We start from the raw sequence: 19373 nt of genomic DNA, 5'->3' as shown, positions 1-19373 counted from the left end.
CAATGGGGGACTCTTTGCTCCGCTTCCAGAATGGAGTTTGGCTAATTGGTACAGCCTTGCCCGGAAGCGTGAGAATAAACAGGTTGACTTTTTAAATTTTCCTCAAGCACTAGGCTCTAGACACCTAGATCGGGGGCGGAGGCAGTTTTCAGGACATGGCCGAGATTTGGCGCTGAGCTGTGTCATCGCGAGGTTTGGCAGCCAGCTCCGCAGTGGGTCGGAAACCTCGTGGTAGGCGAGATCCCTGCAGGACGGGAGGGTTCCTCCCTTCCCCCGAAAAACTCCCAGTCATTTTCATGAAGCTCCGCCTTTCTCCTTTTTAGGAGTGTGCACCAGGTCTCGCGATATCTCATGTTTCCTAAAGGCGAGGCGCGGGCGGCATCCTGCGGTGAATTAAGAAGGTCTCGCCGAGGCTAAAGCGTAATATCGCGATAGTTCTCAACGCATGCGGGAGCCGGCCGTGGTAGGTTGGCTCCGCCCCTCACTGCTTCGTTAGGTTGTGCGTCATTTGCTTTTCGCTTCGCGTAGGGTGAAGCTGTAGCTACTTCGGCTTTGGTGGGAGGGAGGAGGGGTCTGGAAAGGGCTGGGCTCAGGCTTTTCCCGTCCGGTAGAGGTTCTCGCGGGATCGCGCGGAGGCGGCGGTGGCTCGGTTACTGACTGCAGTAGCCGCGGAGGCGGCGGCAAGGTCTTCGGCTCGTGCCGTTCTAAGCCGGAGAATTCTCGCGGGAGCAGGGTTACGTCCTCGTGGGATTCGTTGGCGGTGGCTGAGGTAGCTCGCGGGTGGGGGGTGGGGGGGCAGTGACTAGGGTCGGTCCGCCTGCTGTTAAGATGGCGGCGGAGGCTGATGTCTGTCCGGCCAGGACCCAGCACAGAGGTGTTGGCTATCTGCCTTTATGACGCCTCTGAGGTGCCCAGCGTTAAGGAGGTGACGATTGGCGAAACGCCGGGGTGCCGGTAAACTAGACCTGAGGCGAAGACCACCTCGTTTCTTGTCCGTTGAGGCGACACCATTTCCTGGGCCTCGGCCGCGTGTGGGCCCGCCTTTGCCCCACCGATCGGTCAACGCCTCCGTTGTCGCCGCCGCAGTGGGCGGATTGGGAAGGGTGGGAGGGGAGTCTGGAGTTCGCTGGGGAGTGGGGTTGGGGGTTAAATTGAACGGTGGGAAAGAGGAGCAACCAATGAAGAGTGGCCCCTTTCCCCTACCTTTTCTGCCGGCCAACCTCCGTTCTCAGCACCTCCGACGACCCGGATGAATACCCTGGTTTTTCTCGAGGTGGGGTCATCTTCGCCAACTCTCGCGGTTTTAGAGCTAAGGCTTAGGGTTCAAGCAGTAGTGTCACTGGTGTACTCCTCCTCCTCTCCCCACACCCCTCCTAATTCTGTCGTCCCATCTAATCTTCATCTACGTGGATAGTTGAGGCTGGTATTTAAGGGAGGGGGGAGTCAAAGCTTTTCCCTGTGACTCCTTCCCCAGTTCTAAATTCGAGTTTAGCCTAAGTCCTCTAGCCCGCTCTGTCTCCCCCTTCCATTGGTCCCCTTGGCGCAGGCGTTGAATAGAGCTTATCCTGTTGCCTGCATTTACTCCATCTTTGTGGATGGTGCCATAGTAGCCTTCCATTTCCTCAAGTCTTCATGTTTGTATGACTCTGATCCGGATTTCTTAGCTCTGCATGCTGCTAAACCACTATTAAGCGAAACTATGAACGGGTCGGTGTTTGGATATTGCAGTTTAAGTGGCCTTTTCGTTTACGGCCATTAGCCTTGCCTTCCTCATTCCTCCCCCTCAGAAGGCTGTAGAGGATAACTCTCCAGTAAACCCGCTTTCTGTCTTCCCTGCCTCTTCCATTTCCCCTGCAAGCCTGGGAACCGCCCCTTTTCCCTGCCTTGCTCTGAGTTTCTGGAGCCTCTTGGTCTGTGGACATCTATTTTTGCTGCTGAGCACCTCTTACCTGCTTCTCACTTCTTAATCTTTCTATCCCCCACTCCCCATACTCCTTTTCCAGGAGCTGAATCCCTTAGAAGGAAGATAACCCTCCTCTCAGGCTCCACTACATTTTACCCCTTCCATTTACTAGAAAACAGCATTGATTGTCCTGCCCCCCAGTCTGCCCTGTTCTTTATTTCCTCTTCCCCCCATGCCACCGTTACTATAGGCAGTTAATTCCCTATCATTTGTTTCTCCTTTGTAGATTACATGTTCAGCATTGTTTTCTTTTAGCCCCAGTGTTGCATAGATTGAGGAGATACCAACATTCCCCAGTCATAGGCGGCGGTCTGGTATGGTGAAATTAATAGTGTGTGTTTTGGGTGTGTTTTGGGTTCACATTGAACCTTGTGACCTTGGGCAAATTTTCAGATTCTCAGTTCATCTATATAATGGGAATAGTTGTGCTTACATTAGAGGATTGTTGCTAGAATTAGTTAAAATAAAATAAAATAAAATGTTTAGCTCATGGTAGGCACATAATAAATTAGGATTACTTTTTGGTGTAAGAATGCATTGGTAGATGTACCTGTGTCATATGCTAATTTTATGACCTGGGAAAGAGTAAGAGATTTTTGTTTCTTTAACTGTACATTCTTGGTGTATTTCTAGGCCAGATCTATAACGTTTATATTTTTTTTCCTCATAGGCCAAACTTTTTATCTCCAGTGGTTCATGATGTTTGAACGTGATTCCCACTCTTTGTTTCCTTCTAATGGTCTAGGAATTTCAGTGCGTAATCACTATCCTGGAATGACCACCAGCCATAATGTTCCTGTCAAGAACCACACCCAAGTGTTCTACCTTTTGGAAGGGGTGCCTCATGCCCTGCCTACTCATTTCTTCCACTCCTTCAAAGGCAGTCTGTCCTGTCATTCACTCTACAAAAGTAATTTGGTGTCATGCATTTCACAGTGGTAAAAGGAACTTCTGTTAGCTAGTTTTGAAGTATTCATGCTACTTTTCACCTCCCTCATTTGTTTGGTTCCTCAGATCAGTGTGGGGATCTGCTATTTGGCATCTTCTTACCTGAGCAAGATAATTCCTGTCCGAGAGAGAAAGATCATTTGGAATACCCAGCTTCTTTTCCATAGCAAATTACTGCTGGCTCTTTAATACACTACTTCCTGTTGTGTTATTGCCATTTTATATTTTCTAACGTACTTATTAAACAGATGTGACTATTTGACTTGGAGAAAGTTTTCCTTACTTTTTTTTTTTTTTTTTTAAGATGGAGTCTTGCTCTCGCCAGGCTGGAGTGCAGTGGCGCGATCTCGGCTCACTGCAACCTCCGCCTCCTGGGTTCAAGCGATTTACCTGCCTCAGCCTCCCGAGTAGCTGGGACTACAGGCGCGCGCCACCATGCCCAGCTAATTTTTGTATTTTTAGTAAAGACGGAGTTTCACCACGTTGGCCAGGATGGTCTCGATCTCCTGACCTCGTGATCCGCCCGCCTCGGCCTCCCAAAGTGCTGAGATTACAGGCTTCCTTACTGTTAATATATTGATTAGACCAATATTAAAGTGTAGCATTTTACAATTTTTTTTTTAACTAATTCTAGCAACAACCCTTTAATACAAGCACAACTATCCCCATTATTTTACTTCGGCTGGGTGATGGGAATTGAAGTAGAAACGTGGTGAAAAGTTTACTAGGATTTAAAATTTACAGGAGGTAACCATCCCACAATTAGCTGTATGTGGACTCTAGTTTCGAACTTCAGTTCGAAATAAACTGCTTTATTTAATTTGAAGTGCTTTGTAGGTAATAAAATTTTCTTCCATTTTCATTGGAGGGCAGGAAATCACTTTCTGTTTTGAGATTTTGCATTGGTGCATTTTACCGTGGGTTAAGCAGTGATCACAAATTTATTAAACCTCAATTTCAATTTGACCCTTATTGAGCAATAGAATAAATCTGGGAATGATAATCTAGGTGTGACCTAAAAGTTTAACTTATTCTAGGTAGATCTCTGAGAAGAGAGGAAGGAGTGACAATACCAAATAAAAACTTTGTCTAAGGTTCAATGGCAAAGTTCAACCTGAGTTGCCAGGATGTTTATCGTTTGTCTCCCAATATGGCCAAAAAGCATGTATGAAGGTGAAGAATAATTTTTATATGTACAGTTGTTGTTTTTTTTCACAGAAACAATGAAACAAATACGTCCTTAGTGTTTATATTGAGGGTATAAACTTGTCTAAAAAATAAACTGTCTTCTATAATTTCATTTGGGTTGAGAACTCAGTTTTCAGGAATGTTGTCTAAGCGTTAGAAGTATTAGAGTTGTTGGTTCTGAATTCCTCAGTTACTTCTCAAAGCAGGTCCTAAAAAATGCAAATAGATATGTAAGGACTATTGCTTTAGAAATAATAACTAGTTATGTTTGAACATAATAGAATGGTTAACCCTCCTCACACACCCTAATAAATGTGTTGTGTATCTCACTCCTCTCCCCCAACTTTTTTTTTGTAGGTCCTCCAGCAGCCTGACCTGAGTGGGTTAGTGATCCAGAGAAACCAGCAGGCCAACTTGGTCAGGAAGGTTCGGGAAGCTGTTGGAGCAGTGTGGGGAATTTCCCACCAGGATGAGTATGATTGGCTGTGATTTTAGGTTAGTTTTTGTAAATCTTGTGGGAAGTATTTGTATTTTACTTCCTGGAATGGAGATAGTAGGGGTGGATGTATTCCCATTCTGTAATGGAGCTACTTTGGTTTCTTCCATTCTCTGGATCTGATGTGGTACTGGTTGCTTCTTTTTTTAAAGTGGAGCTCATTACTGAATTAAAGGGAATTGTTTAAATGAATGATGTCTGTACATGATTTTTTAAATCACCCTAGGCATCGTTCAAAAAATAAAATTGCAAGTCATTATGTCTAACCAGTTCTTATTAAAGTTACGAAAAATTTCAAACATGCAAACATTGAATAGTATAATAATCCCCCCACTTACCCATCACCAGCTTTAATAGTATCAACTTGCACATTCTATTTCATCTATACTTCTGTTTGTTTGGTTTTTTTTAATTTTTTTAAATTGAGATGGGGTTTCATCGTGTTGCCTAGACTGGTCACAAACTCCTGGGCTCAAGCCATCCTCCCTTCTTGGCCTCCCAAAGTGTTGGGATTACAGGCGTGAGCCACCAGGCCCAGCCTGTTTCATCTATACTTCTAACCACTGCCCCCCTCAATGGATTATATTGGAATAAATCCCTGTCATATTTATTTGTAAAATACTTGTTTGTATTTCTAAAAGGCAAGGGCTCTTTAAATATAAGATCAAAACTATTATCACAACTGAAAAAATTAACAGATATTTAAAAATATCAAATATAAAATGTTCAGATTTCTGATTTTTTTTTAAGCTTTGTTTTTTTTCTTTTACAGTTTGTTTGAATCAGGATCCTGAGAAAGCACATTTATTGCAAAGCATTGATACAGCTGTTAAATCTATTTTAATCTGCAGGTTCTGTCTTTTGTTTTTTTTTTCTTCCAATTTATTTGTTGAAGAAATTGTCCTATATATAGTTTCCCGCCCCCCATATTTGGGGATTACAGCCCAGTAGTGGTGTCTAACCCATTCTTGCTCAATTAAAGACCCTGGAGGACCCATTATAATGGAACAATGGCTATAATCTCCTGTATCCTAGTTGGAGTTGATAGTGCTGTCATAGGCACTATCCTAAAATAACTAGTCATGGATTCCTTTTTCTGTGGCAAAGTCTGATTTGATACCTGACTTCAGTTCCATGTCTTGGCCTTGCTCATTGCTCCACATGAAAAGTAGGCCTCCTGGTGGAAGAAGCTAGTGTTTCCTAATGACCTGATTGTGCCTTTGGGGTTTTTCATGCATGGTTTCAATTTCCTTAGGTGATTTAGTTATTTTTATACTACTTTATAATGTTGCTTTTTATTCTTTTGATGTTAGTGTCTCAGCTGTTCTGACCCATAACTTCTAAGCTATTAAGACCTAATAATGAGTTCCTGGCTGTCATACAGTTCTTGAAATGGCAATACTAAAACAGTTTTTGAGAGCTTCTACTTACATGTTGATTTTCAGCTATTATACACAACCTTAGTTTTCCTACTGTGATTTTTCATTTCATTTCATCTGAAATTTATGTTTCCTTAGCATAAAGTCCTTTAAGGACTTTTAGGCTGCTTTATGATGATCTCACTATCTATAAGGTTGATATTCATAAGTACTTGGGCTTTTGGTGTTTTGCTGTATTATTCGTTGTTTCCTCAACGACTGGTTACTAGATGTTTATATATGTTAATGTCAGGAATAACTCAACTTTTAAGTCGTTTGATGTTTCATAGGTGGTGTTGTTAAAACTTGATGTACTTGTTGACCAGCTTGGTCTTCTGGATATAGAAATCCTTTCAGGTAGTGAAGAAGTGGCTCTATGAGTAAAACAACTGTAGGTTTTGTTTGGGCTGTTAACCTGAGCATTTTCAACTTTTAAGTTCTCTTTAAAAGTTTTTAGTCATTTGGCTTTAAAAATTACAGTTGGTGGCATAGAATGATCCCATAATGTGATTTTACAGAAAGTTGGAATGTTTTAATTTATTATGAATGTACCATTACGTGGAGATTGGGATTGTAGATCTGATTCAGTCTGGATTGCTGATTGAACTAGATGAATGTTAAAATTCTTCAACTCTGAGATTCTGATGGTATAATCTTAGGTATTGAAAGACAGCAGTTTTTCCTTTCAGTAGTCATTAAGTAAATGGTGACTAAAAGTAGGGAGATGAATTATTCTGGAATGACCTTTCACTATAACCATTTAGATTTAAAAGATTGATGAGTCTGAGGATACTGTCATGAATTTATGTACCACCTTTAGCACAATCCAGGTTTTAGGTCCTTGTGATTAGATATCAGAGATAATTGCCCCAGAAGTGCGTGGGTATATTACATTTGGTGGCTGTTAATGTTTTGGAATGATTTTGGAAGATTACTTTGGGTACATTATTTGCTATGATTATTTTCTTATATTCCTGTCTATTTTATAGTGAGGCATGTTTCTCCTGGTCTTTGCTTTTTTTTTTTTTTTTTTTAAACTTCCAATATTCTTTATTACGGCATTCTGACAATTGAGTTCTTACAGGTGGAAAGACCTTTCAGCACAGCGATTAAGAACATGGACTCTGGAGCTAGATTCACAGAGTTCAAGTTCTGACTCCCATTTCTTACCAGGTGTGTCATGTTGTGCAAATTACTTAACTGCTTTGTGCCACACGGTCCTTCATCTGTAAAATGATGATAATACTGCCTGCCTTATAGAGTTCTGAAGAAATTTAGCTGAGTTAATGCATATAAAGTGCTTAGAACAATGGTTCTGAAACTTTAGGGAACATCAGAATCACCTAGAGGACTTCCTAAAAGATTGGCTGGTCCCCACTCCCAGAGTTTCTGATTCTGTAGATCTAGGAGGGGCCCCAGATTTTGCATTTCTGATAAGTTCCCAGGTGATACTTCTCTATTTCCTGCAAATTGGCAGCTGGATCCAGAGACTTGATAAATTTCAGGTTCGTTCCCTTTGGCAAATATATTGCGGGGGGGTGGGGTGGGGGGGTGTTCATTCACAACATTGATTATGTTACGATGACTTGAATTTTTTGGATCCATTAATTTGTTGGGGGGCTACAAAATGGTGACGTTCTGATGCTATCATTTTGTTTTCATCTGTTAGCTGGAATAATTTTGTTTCCCCTCATCTTTTATTTGGTTACTCAGCAATATAGTTTATATAGGAAGAGCAGGATAAATACTCAATTTTTTAAAACATTGCTTTCAAGATGATGAATTGGTCCCCTGTCATCTTCAAAAGGTTACACATATAAGTGTATATATAACTATGCATCCATAGATGTAAACATTTGATGGGTTTCAATACATTGCAGTTCTGATCCTTAGCGAAGTTCAAATTGCCCTTCTTGTGGCTAGTGGAACTCTCTTAAAGTTGGCTCCTGATTCTTACTGACATGCTCTCTAGTAGTCTTTGATAGCTTCCTTGCTATCTGGTATGTCAAGATGTTTCCAGGCGCATTCTTGTGCATTTCTGCCCCAGACCTGGAATTAGCTAATGGGATTAAGATAAAAGGTGAAGTCAAAAGAAATTCTGTTTTTGCCAAGGGTAGCTTGGAACTTTCTATCAAGTTCCACTTTTCTCTTTCCACTTAACCTCCCTAGCCTGCCTCTTCATTCTTCTCTACCTTTTTATTAGAGTTAAGGTGGAAAGGTTTGAGAAGCCTTGATAATCATAGGAAGATCATGGAGCCCAGGCAGTTCCGGATTTGGGGCCTGGCCACTTACTAGGTCTGTCAGTTTGGGCAAGTTAACCTATATCAGTTATGATGTGGGGGGAAATACCTTATTCATATGGTTATTGGAATTAAAGAGAAAATGTAAGGTGTTAGTACATGGTAGGTGATCAGTAGATGGTAATTTATTTAATGTACTATTTTACTTAACTCCTTCAACAGCTCAGAGGTGGGCAGTCAGGGTGGTGAAAATAATGGCCATTTAACAAAATGTGTCTGGACCCTTTAGGTCTGTGTGGGATCATCAGTGGTGAGGCAGGATAGGGTTTGTTCTTGAGTTATTTTGGGTCTGAGACTTTGGCCAGTGATAACTGAATGTTCCATAGAGTAGTTTTTCACTTTGGAACTCCTTAGGAGTCACATTTATACCCTCTGAAGGGTCTTAGCTAGTTCTGTAATGTGTATTACATTGGTTACCTTGATCTCTCTCCGTCTATACTGGCCCCTCCTATTCAAGGTGTTCAAGGTTCTGTTGTAACCTTAGTAACCTATAATAAGTATTCCTAATAGTCATCAGTATCACCACTGTTAACACATTTGGGCAGCACCATGCATGGCAGGTCAGCAAACAGGTAAATCTTATTTTTTTAAACATTACACATAATATCTAAAGTATAGTTTGTGGCATGTAATAAGTGCTGCTGAATAAATGGAAGTCATTGTTCAGTTTTTAGCTTAATATATCTTTTTTTTTCTTTTAACATAACATTTACTGAATGTTGCTAAGTATAAGGAGTAAGGGACATAAAATGAATGAGACTTGGTCTCTGCCCTTGAGAAACTCACAGTCGAGTTAAGGACTGTGAAATCATGTTTAAAGTTCCTTAGCCTTTTCCTTTGTGTCATCATTTCTTCCCCTGCACTGTCTATGCATGATATAGCCTGTCCATTGTTTCTCACAGCTTTCCTAATTCTGTGTGCCTCCCCAGCCTTTGAGACTGCTGATATGTGAGAAAGCCAACAATTGTCTTCTATTAATACAGGGTAATATCAAGAAAAACCTTTGGGCCAATATTGGATTTCAGAGTGGCATGTGCAGTTGACATTACAATACCAGTTTATGGTCTTTAGATGGGCCTGTACACCTGGGCTCCAGCCTCTTTCCTGTGCCTTTAAACTGCCTTACTTCCATCTTTCCTCCCCTATACCCTACCCTTAATGTACTTGGTACATAAAAATAGAGGCTCCCATACCCAGGTAGTGATCAAGTACAATGTAAAGAAACAGCTGTACTTCATATAAACTAGGATTCGAGTGGGCCTAGGGTATATCACTAAATTTCCATTCTTATCTATAAAACAGTAATCGGAAAGCCTATTTCATAGGTTGCTGTGAGCATTAAAGCGAGATGATGTATTTTTAAATGCTTGTAAAGTACGAAGATAAGGTCATTATAATTTATATAAAATACTTAGTAGCTATGTTACTTGGGGCAAATTACCTCATCACTGAGCCAGTTTCCTCATCCTTTAAATGAAGATGGTGATATTCATTTAACAAATATTTATTGAGGACGTAGTCATTGCAGCTACATCCTGGGAATACAAAGATAAGTGACTGGAGAATGTAGGACAGTGTGGTCTAGGGGAAGGAGACTTGCAAATCACACAAAAGGGTCAGTATGGTAATATGAGGAATGAACAAAATGTGCTATAGCAGTTTACAAGAAGGCATCAGAGAATGTCACAGAGTTTTGTTAGGGTTAAGCAAGATAAATGAAAAGTACTTCATGAATTCAAAAATGCTATACAAATAAGTTAGTTAAACGTACCCCAAATGAATCAATAGTCTCAAACCATTATTGTTTCATTTCTTCACAAGACTTACTCTTTAGATGCATTTATTTCTTTGAGCTAGATTTTATGACCTCCTTAAGGGTAACCTGTAGTAGAGTATCCTGAAAGTTAATGCTTTTGTCTAAAAGGATTTTTTTCATCCATTTTATCATTTTCTAGTTTTTAATCACTGAATTCAGGAAAAACTAGAAAATGTGTGCATATTTGGGGAGAGGATATACATAATTCCACCACAATGTTTAGTCACTGTTAACATTTTGGTGTATTCACATCTTAATGATAAGGGTAGTGTTTAAGGAATAAGAAAAGAAATCTAGTAGGAAATTTTAAGGATAGGCATTTCCCAGAATAGGAAACTAAAAACGTCCACTAACAAGAAATGGTACTCAAACTAATAATCAGAAATGCAAATTTAAATAAGGTCATTTTTAGTCATTAGATTGATAAAAAATAATTTGATAATATCAAGTCATCGTAAAAGGTATAAGGAAGAGTCTGGCCTTATAATACTGCCTACAAGTGGCGTAAATTGATACAGCTATTTTGGAGGCAATTTTGGCAAGTTGCAAGAGAGTACATACTATGTGATGCTATTTATGTTTTAAAAAAAACCATGGCAAACTGACAACTTTATTTGGGAGGAGGGATCGTGGGGAACTTTACCTTTTTCTGTAATATGTGCATTTCTACTTCTGAAAAATATACTGAGAAGTACAGAGAATAATACAACAATCCCTGTCCCTACCCCCACTCCAGAATTGATCATTTTTAACATTTATTTTTGCCTTACATTTTTTTGTGGAGTTGGAAGTAACACAAGTTGAGTGTCCCTAATCCAAAATTCAAAATGCCCCAAAATGAGTTTCAACACGATGCCACAAGTGGAAAATTCTACGCCTAAGTACTTAACACTTTGTTTCATGAGCAGAATTATTAAAAATATTGTATAGGGTACAACGAACATTATTTGGGTGATGGTTACACTAAATGTCTAGACTTCACTACTGCACAATATACCCATGTAACAGAACTGTACTTGTGCCACCTAAATTTATACGAGAAATTGTGTAAAATTACCTTCAGGCTGTATGTATAAGGTGTGTATGGAACATGAATGGATTTCATGTTTAAACTTGAGCCGCATCCTCAAGATGTCTCATGATGTATAGGCAGATATTCAAGAATCTGAAATCTGAAATCCTGCTGGTCCCAAGCACTGGATAGGAGATACTTAACCTGTATAGGTAAACAGGAGATACTTTTTTAATACCCAGCATTCCCTTCCCCCCTTACAATCAGTACAATGAATTGCTTGAATTTTTCTACTGTGAGAATGGTATAAATTATGAATGTAAGTAAAAGTTCAAAACCGATGTGGTGGCCACACAAAAACCTATTATTAAATAATATTAAATTTGTACAGTATTTTAGAGTTTGTAAGAAGCATTCTGATTTTAGTAAGAATGCTTTGGGAATAGAACTTTTTTTCGTTTGCTCATTTTCTTGTTAACTCTTGTTTGAAAACGTTTTCCTGAATTTGTTTTTAAGTAATCTTCATGACTGTAGAATTATACATGGCTTATTGTTGAAAAATACAGATAAACAGACAAATTTCCGCAAACCCCAAACTCACAGATAAAATACTCTTAACATTTTGGTATGCAGTATCTTCTTCGAAGGCTTTTCTTAACTGCTCTGTAGCCATATTATATATTTTTTCAGAAATGCTCTTTTTAAAATGTAATTCATTACCTCCCTTCCAGCTTTCAATTTTGTATGAAAAATTTCAAACAAAAATGCTGAAAACATAGCACAATGAACATCTGTATACCATCAGCTGGATCCAACAATTAAGTATTTGCCATATTAGATTTATATGTACAGATGTGTGTTTAATTTTTCTCAACATTAGAAGTAAGGATGACACTTTATCCTTAAATCTTTCAGCTGCATGTCTTAAGAATGAGGACATCTCAGCCGGGCGCAGTGGCTCACACCTGTAATCTGAGCACTTTGGGAGGCCAAGGTGGGTGGATCATTTGAGGTCAGGAGTTCGAGACCAGCCTGGCCAACATGGTGAAACCCTGCCTCTACTAAAAATAAAAAAATTAGCTGGGTGTGGTGGCACCTGTAGTCCCAGCTACTCGGGAGGCTGAGGCAGGAGAATCACTTGAACCCAGGAGGCGGAGGTTGCAGTGAGCTGAGATCACGCCACTGCATTCCAGCCTGGGCGACAGAGTGAGACTCTGTCTCAAAAAAAAAAAAAAAAGTAAGGACATCTACAAAACCACAATACCATTATCACGCCTAGGGAGTTTATTTTTTCTTAATATTATCTAATATCCGGTTCATATTCACATTTTCTCAGTTGTCCCCAAACTGTCTTTTTTTCCAAGCTGTTTTCTCCAAACTAGTGTAGAAATGGTATTTTTAACTTTGCTCTTCCCACATATTGACCCCTGTTTCATGTCTTTGTCATTATGTATACTTCTGTAGCATTTTTAATGGCTACATTGTATTCTATTGTATGCAGAATTTATTTAACCAGTTTGCTTTGTTCACACCTTTTGCTGTGTTCATACTTTTCCCTCAGGTGTCCCCAAACTGTCTTTTTTCAAGCTGTTTTCTCCAAACTAGTATAGAAATGGTATTGTTAAATTTGCTCTTCCCACGTATTGACCCGTTCCATGTCTCTGTCATTATGTATACTTCTGTAGCTTTTTTTTTTTTTTTTTTTTTTTTGAGACGGAGTCTCGCTGTCGCCCAGGTCGGAGTGCAGTGGCGCGATCTCGGCTCACTGCAGGCTCCGCCCCCCGGGGTTCACGCCATTCTCCTGCCTCAGCCTTTTGAGTAGCTGGGACTACAGGTGCCTGCCACCTCGCCCGGCTAATTTTTTTTTGTATTTTTAGTAGAGACGGGGTTTCACCGTGTTAGCCAGGATGGTCTCGATCTCCTGACCTCGTGATCCGCCCGCCTCGGCCTCCCAAAGTACTGGGATTACAGGCGTGAGCCACTGTGCCCAGCTTCTGTAGCATTTTTAATGGCTACATTGTATTTTATTGTATGCAGAATTTATTTAACCAGTTTGCTGTGTTCACACTTTTCCAGTCCCAGTTTCTCATGATTTTAAGTAATGCCTCCTAACATACAGGTAATTCAGCATTCAGTAAATAAGTGTCGAATGAAAGAAGCATAGGTACATCCTAATAGATAAATATTTATGAGATCCATATTTAATATTTTTAATTTTTTATTTCCATAGGTTTTTGGGGAACAGGTGATATTTGGTTACATGAGTAAGTTCCTTAGTGGTGATTTGTGAGATTTTGGTGCACCCATCACTGGAGCAGTATACACTGAACCCAATTTATAGTCTTTTATCCCTCACCCCTTTCCCATCCTTTCCCCCTGAGTCCCCAAAGTCCATTGCGTGACATCCATATTTATATCCTTAAGAAATTTCTACAACCGGAATGTAAAAATGTAAGGCTTTTAATACTCATTGCTAAATTGGCCTTTAGAAAGGCTAACCTTGCATTTTTCACTGTGATATGTTTAGTATATGATCCATCATGATTTACAATATTGTAGCACATCAGGATAAGCCTTGATAAATCAGAAGAGTATAAATCTGGATATAGCCAGTATCGTTGTAGATGGCTCACTGCATATATACACGTATATACATATACGTACGTACACGTATATACATAGACATATACATATCTGCTGCCATATTTTTCCAGGGGCTAGTTTGACTCTTCTACTTTGGAGGGCTTTGCAGTTTGTTAACCCAATCTGGAGTCCAGGCCCCGGCTTCTTACATTTCTTTAAATATCTTGGTGAGACCAGCCTTAAAAGGAAGTATAGTCTGGAGAGATGCAGACATCACTAGAAGATATCCTTTTACGTAGAGAATTTTAGATTTTTGCTTTTAAAAAGTAAAGACAGGCTGCTTTTATGGGTGAATTCAGATCTCTCCCTCTAGCAAATTACCAACAGCTTTAAAAGGGTAGTCTTCATGTCCAACAGAAAAGCTGGATGATACCCTATATTTCCTATTATCCATATCAAACTCCTTATTTTATAGGCCCAGTTGTAGGAGTAATAACATATCCATGGTAACATGGCTGGATAGTGGTGAAATTGAGCATCAAACCCAGGTTACCTAGTCCAGTATTGTTTTCACTATGTTTTATCTCTCCTTAAAACTGAACTTTATTTCTAAATGTGCCATCTGGTGTCATCTGTAGAAATACAAAGTAAGTGGTCCTCTTCCTATGAGAAAGTTACTCCCCAAATAGGGGAATTTTAAAGTAGAAAGTCAACGTGAGAAAGGCAAAAATCCAAAGAAAGCTCAGTTTCTTTGCCCTTTTAACCGTAGTTACTACTTTCTGACATGAGATCAACTTGGAGCTCTTTCATGGAACAGTTCGATTTGGCCATGTGTTTTCATGCATTTATGGATGCTATAAATCAGTAGATGAGACTGAATTTCCTGCTTGTAAAACTTTTTCAAATTAAAGGGCTGCTTTCTAAGTCCATCTTATTTTCCCTTCCTTTTTTCAACTGTTTTAAACTATAACATGTTTGCTATTTTTAAAAAGATTGAAACAAAATAATAGTTTACACCTTTTAGCATTATAGTTAAGTATTACTGTGTTAAGTATATACTTATGTTAAGTATTTTTATACTATGTTAAGCTTTTTATGCTGAAGTAATGGTGTGAAGTAGGTGTGTACTTTTATTTTCATCCAAATGGTTAGCCAGTAGCTCCTGTTTTTCTTCCTGGCAAAGTCTATTTGATCTTTAAAAATATTCTTAGCTTAAAAGTGAATTATTTGCAGAAGTGTAGTTTTATTTTTTAAAAACCTAGGAATTTGTGGCAAGTAGAAAACTAGCATGGTTACTTTTAGCTGTTTAGTTTTTGAAAATAATTCAGATTGTTCATGTTTAATATTTAACATTTGTCTTAGACTGAAGGCAAAGTACTACAGATAGTGCTTTAAGGGATCTTAGTTATTGTACTTCCATTTTACATCATGTTGGAAGCCCAGAATGTCATAAGGTCTTAAAGCCAGTTGGTGGCTGAGAACTAGAGTACCTTTGCATACTTCACTTTCATTTCTAGCAAGCATCTTTCATGTAATAGATATGTTTTAAAGCAGTAGATTGTTCAGAATTGTCTGGTTTATTTAAGAACATTTGAAATAACTATGTGTCAGGCTGTGTGGAGCACCATAAAATTTACTCAGACAGCCATTTTTTTCTATATGTTGGGACACCTTTGTTTTTAAAGGCTTTGTTTTACAACTTTCTTATCAGTGAACTAATTTGAGCCTCATAACAAACCTGTGAAGTTGGAATTCTTTTCAACATCCTGGAAAGAGTTTGCTGCCAGGTTGATAATTGCTATAAATAACTTGCTCTTTTAAACCATGCAAAAGAATCTTTGTCTCCATTCCTTCCAAATTCATTTGAACCAGCTCAAAACAGTTGAGACCCAGTTAAAATTTTTGATTAAGTGGCATGGCCTGCACATTATTTAGTAGACTGTTTACCTTTTGCAGAACTGTATAATTTGAGAATGAAACTGGAGCCTCCCAATCTCATTGTCATCAAAGTAGAGTTTAAGTTGTTGGTTGTCTGCAGTTATGGCTAACAGTATGGAGATTAGTATATACTGTATGTTCTCCTTCATATGCAGGTAATGTGTAGAAAGATTGAGAAGGCCAGCTCTTTTGCATATGATCAGATTTATATATCTGTATTTCTGTCTTATCAATCTGTAGAATACCTAGCATAAGGTTTCTGCCTTTAGATTAATCTGGAGCCAAAAGAAATAGAACAAATAGCAATACGGCTTACTCTTTGCTGGGCACAATCCTATGAGATAGACTTGTTTATTTTACAGAGGTGACTGGACTCAGAGATGTATGGCAACTTGTCTAAGATCACACACCTAGTAAATGGAATTTAGGCCCAGATCTGTCTGTTTCCCAGGCTTTTCCATTATGCTGTTGTCCTTTACTTCATTTTTACTTTTCTTCCAGTGGTAGTCTTCAGCCTCTACTTTTTTTTTTTTTTTTTTGAGATGGAGTCTTACTTTGTCACTCAGGCTGGAGGGCAGTGGCATGATCTCGACTCACTGCAACCTCCACCTCCCGAGTTCAAGCGATTCTTCTGCCTCGGCCTCCCGAGTAGCTGGGACTACAGGTGTGTGCCACCACGCCCAGCTAATTTTTGTATTTTTAGTAGAGACGGGGTTTCACCATGTTGGCCAGGCTGGTCTTGAACTCCTGATGTCATGATCCACCCACCTCAGCCTCCCAAAGTGCTAGGATTATAGGGGTGAGCCACCGCGCCCGGCCGGGGAGGTTTGATCTTTAGAGATGCTGCTTGTTTCTCTGCAAACCCAAGGACATGAGAGAATTGGAGCTGAATAATGCAAAAGGGGTGGAATTCTGTTTCTTTGGTATCTGGTACCATCTTTATTGTATTTGACAGTAGTCTATCATGTGGCTTTGGGAAAAAAATACCATATACCTGTGTTTCATAAATGAAAGGGAAATACAAGGGAAAACATTGTCATGGCTAGATAGACAGTGTCTTAACTTTCTTTAGGGCATTGGTTCCTAATGTTCTTCAGGTCATAGATCCTTTTAAGAAGCCAATGAAAGCTGTTGACCGTCTTCTGGGAAAAAGACCAACATATGTAAAATTTCCCACAGAATTTCAGGGTTTTTGTAGTGGTCATCCTTCAGTATAGGATGAGGAATTCTAAAGATTCCTCTACACTTGTTTTTCTCTATATGTCATTAAGATGTCTAAATTGCTATGTTGTTTGTTCTTGTATTTCTTAGTACAGGCGTCCCCGACTTAATGATGGTTCAACTTAGGATTTTTTGACTTTACGATGGTGTGAAAGCGAAACACATTTAGTAGAAAGCATACTTGAGTACCCACATAACCATTTTGTTTTCCACTTTCAGTCGATATTAAGTTACATGAGACATTGAACATTTATTATAAAACGGGCTTTGTGTTAGATGATTTTGCCCAACTATAGGCTCTAATGTAAATATTGCAAGCATGTTTAAGGTAGGCTAGGCTATGATGTTTGGTCGGTTGGGTACAGTAAGTGCATTTTTGACTTAGATATTTCCAGTTTACAATGGGTTTACTGGGATATAATCCCATCATATGTTGAAGAGCAACTGTATATATTTTTCTAGACTTATTTTTCTACACAGTGGTCAAGGGTAAGCTTGGCTAACTGTGTCACTTTTGCTTAAAGATATACTCTGTATTATGCAAATTTAATTTATCTTCTGTATTGATCTTATAATTGGTTGTGTTTTCAGCCTTTGGGCATGAGGAAGTTGTAATTCTCTTTTTTTGTGTATTGACTTCGTTGCCTTTATATTACGATTGCTTCTAATCTATTTTATTTCTGATTTTTTTCCTTATTTTCTACATTTCTGTACACCTGGCTATCTGAGTATTCATCTCAATGCCCTGCATATAGTATGTTTATAATTGTTGAATGGAAAGATGAAGGTTAAATGAATCTAAATTGTTTTTTTCAGTTCACCAAGAGTTTAATGTGACTTGGATTTTTTTTAGTTTTGTTAAGCATTTACTGGATAGTTATTCATTTATTAATCTGCTATTAATAAATGACAGTTCATATGCTGGTACAGGAATGCAAAGATAAATATGATACAGTCCCACTCTTGCAGAACTCAGCAAGCATAGTGGGGAGACTGTCAGGTAAGTAAAGAGGTGTGCTGATTGAGGATCAATATGCAGGATATAGTTGGGGCTAAATAAAGCATGTGGGGAGCTGAGGGAAATATTATGTAATATCATAGCACTGGTAAGAGAGGTAAGCAGGGACCAGGTCCTAGAGGTCTTGGATGCTGGTTTAAATAAGGAGTTTGTACTTGATGTAGGTAGGTTTTGAGTTTTAGGGAGATTGCTCTGGCAACAATGTGGAGGATAGAATGGATGGATCCAGCAGGAAAAAGTCTCACTTTAAAATAACTTCAATTTATGAGACTTTTCAAAACATATACAAAAATAGAAAAAAGCATAATGAACACCCATGTAACTGTCACCCAGCTTGAACAGTGATCAACACAGGGCTATTGTTCTATTTATACCCCGCTCCTCCCCTCTATTTTTATTAAAGCAAGTTCCTAAGTCACAGAATGGCAAAGCATATATTGAATAATAATCTAATGCCATGGCTCTCAAGGCTGGCCTGTGCTGCCAAATCACCTGTACAGCTTGAAAAAAATAATCCCCACTTCAGACCTACTGAATTAGATAGCTTTGAAATGCCTGTGTGGTCAGGCATTTTTAGTTTTCAAAATAAGTCTCGGGTGAAGTAAGTTATTTTTAAGATAATTTTAAAATAACTTCTGACAAATGAAAATACTTTCCTGAACTCATTGAATGCTGCCTGTGGCCCTTCTGGGTGAAATTCACCTATTCGATACAGGCAGGCTTTTCTTATAAATTTTTATTTATTTTTTGTAGAGACGGAGGTCTCACTCTGTGGCCCAGGCTGGTCTCGGGAAAACTCCTGGCCTCAAGTGATCCTCCCACCTCAGGCTTATCCTCCCACCTCAGGCTTCCAAAGTGCTGGGATTACAGGCATGCAGCCAGAAACTGACAATTCTTAAGGTGTAGACTAGGAATATTCCAGAGTACCAATTTAAAATGTGTAGACAAGGAGTCTGTTCCTCTCCTGCTTAATTTGCTTAACTTACACTTAGGCATTGCTGTTTTTATTTTTTGTTGAGAATACCAAGAAGGGCTCCTTAGCATGCTGTCATTTCCTCTGTATTGGTAAAATTGATAATCTGCAACTTTGGTGAGCCATGTTTGGTTGCCTAGTTCTTCTGATGCCAGTTTCTCTAAGTAATTGGGAGTATCCGGGAAGGATAACTCCCAGATCTGCAGCTTCCCCAGACTGTTTGAATAGAGGATGTGGCAGGAGATGTGTTCTCAGATACTATTCTCACGTTCAAAGTCAACATTGGAGGTTTCAGATTCCTCTTTCTTAGTATCCCTCCCTGCCCATATTTTCCTTGCTTAAGCATAACTGCAGTGCAGAGAAACACCCAGAGCCAGCATAAACTCTTAATCTGAGGTATAGTGTGTTTTCAGATTTTAAATGAGAGACTCCTTCAAGGTATTTCTGCAAATAATTTCCAGATTTGTCTTGGGTGAGTAAAGGCTATTTTTCAGTTGCT

The 19373-nt window shown here is 39.2% G+C and overlaps 1 protein-coding gene across 50 annotated transcripts in view; it reads left to right on the top strand.

Moving 5' to 3' along the window:
• The window catches only part of HUWE1 (HECT, UBA and WWE domain containing E3 ubiquitin protein ligase 1), a 154624-nt gene that overhangs the window by 2077 nt on the left and 133174 nt on the right, over positions 1–19373 (top strand). For 26 of the 50 annotated variants that reach the window (XM_047441752.1, NM_001441053.1, NM_001441056.1 and 23 more), the window contains exons 1-2: positions 507–769; positions 4457–4594. The gene's annotated coding sequence lies outside the window, so the exon portion shown is untranslated. Of the gene's footprint in view, positions 1–506; positions 770–797; positions 955–4456; positions 12136–19373 lie in introns of those variants that run through there. The other 24 variants (NM_001441048.1, NM_001441051.1, XM_047441751.1 and 21 more) reach the window with 4 other exon arrangements.

The sequence above is a fragment of the Homo sapiens genome, chromosome X, assembly GCF_000001405.40.
Source record: "Homo sapiens chromosome X, GRCh38.p14 Primary Assembly".
Taxonomy (NCBI): Eukaryota; Metazoa; Chordata; class Mammalia; order Primates; family Hominidae; genus Homo; species Homo sapiens.
Note: the sequence above shows the minus strand (reverse complement) of the source record. Positions and strands in the feature narration are given on the sequence as shown.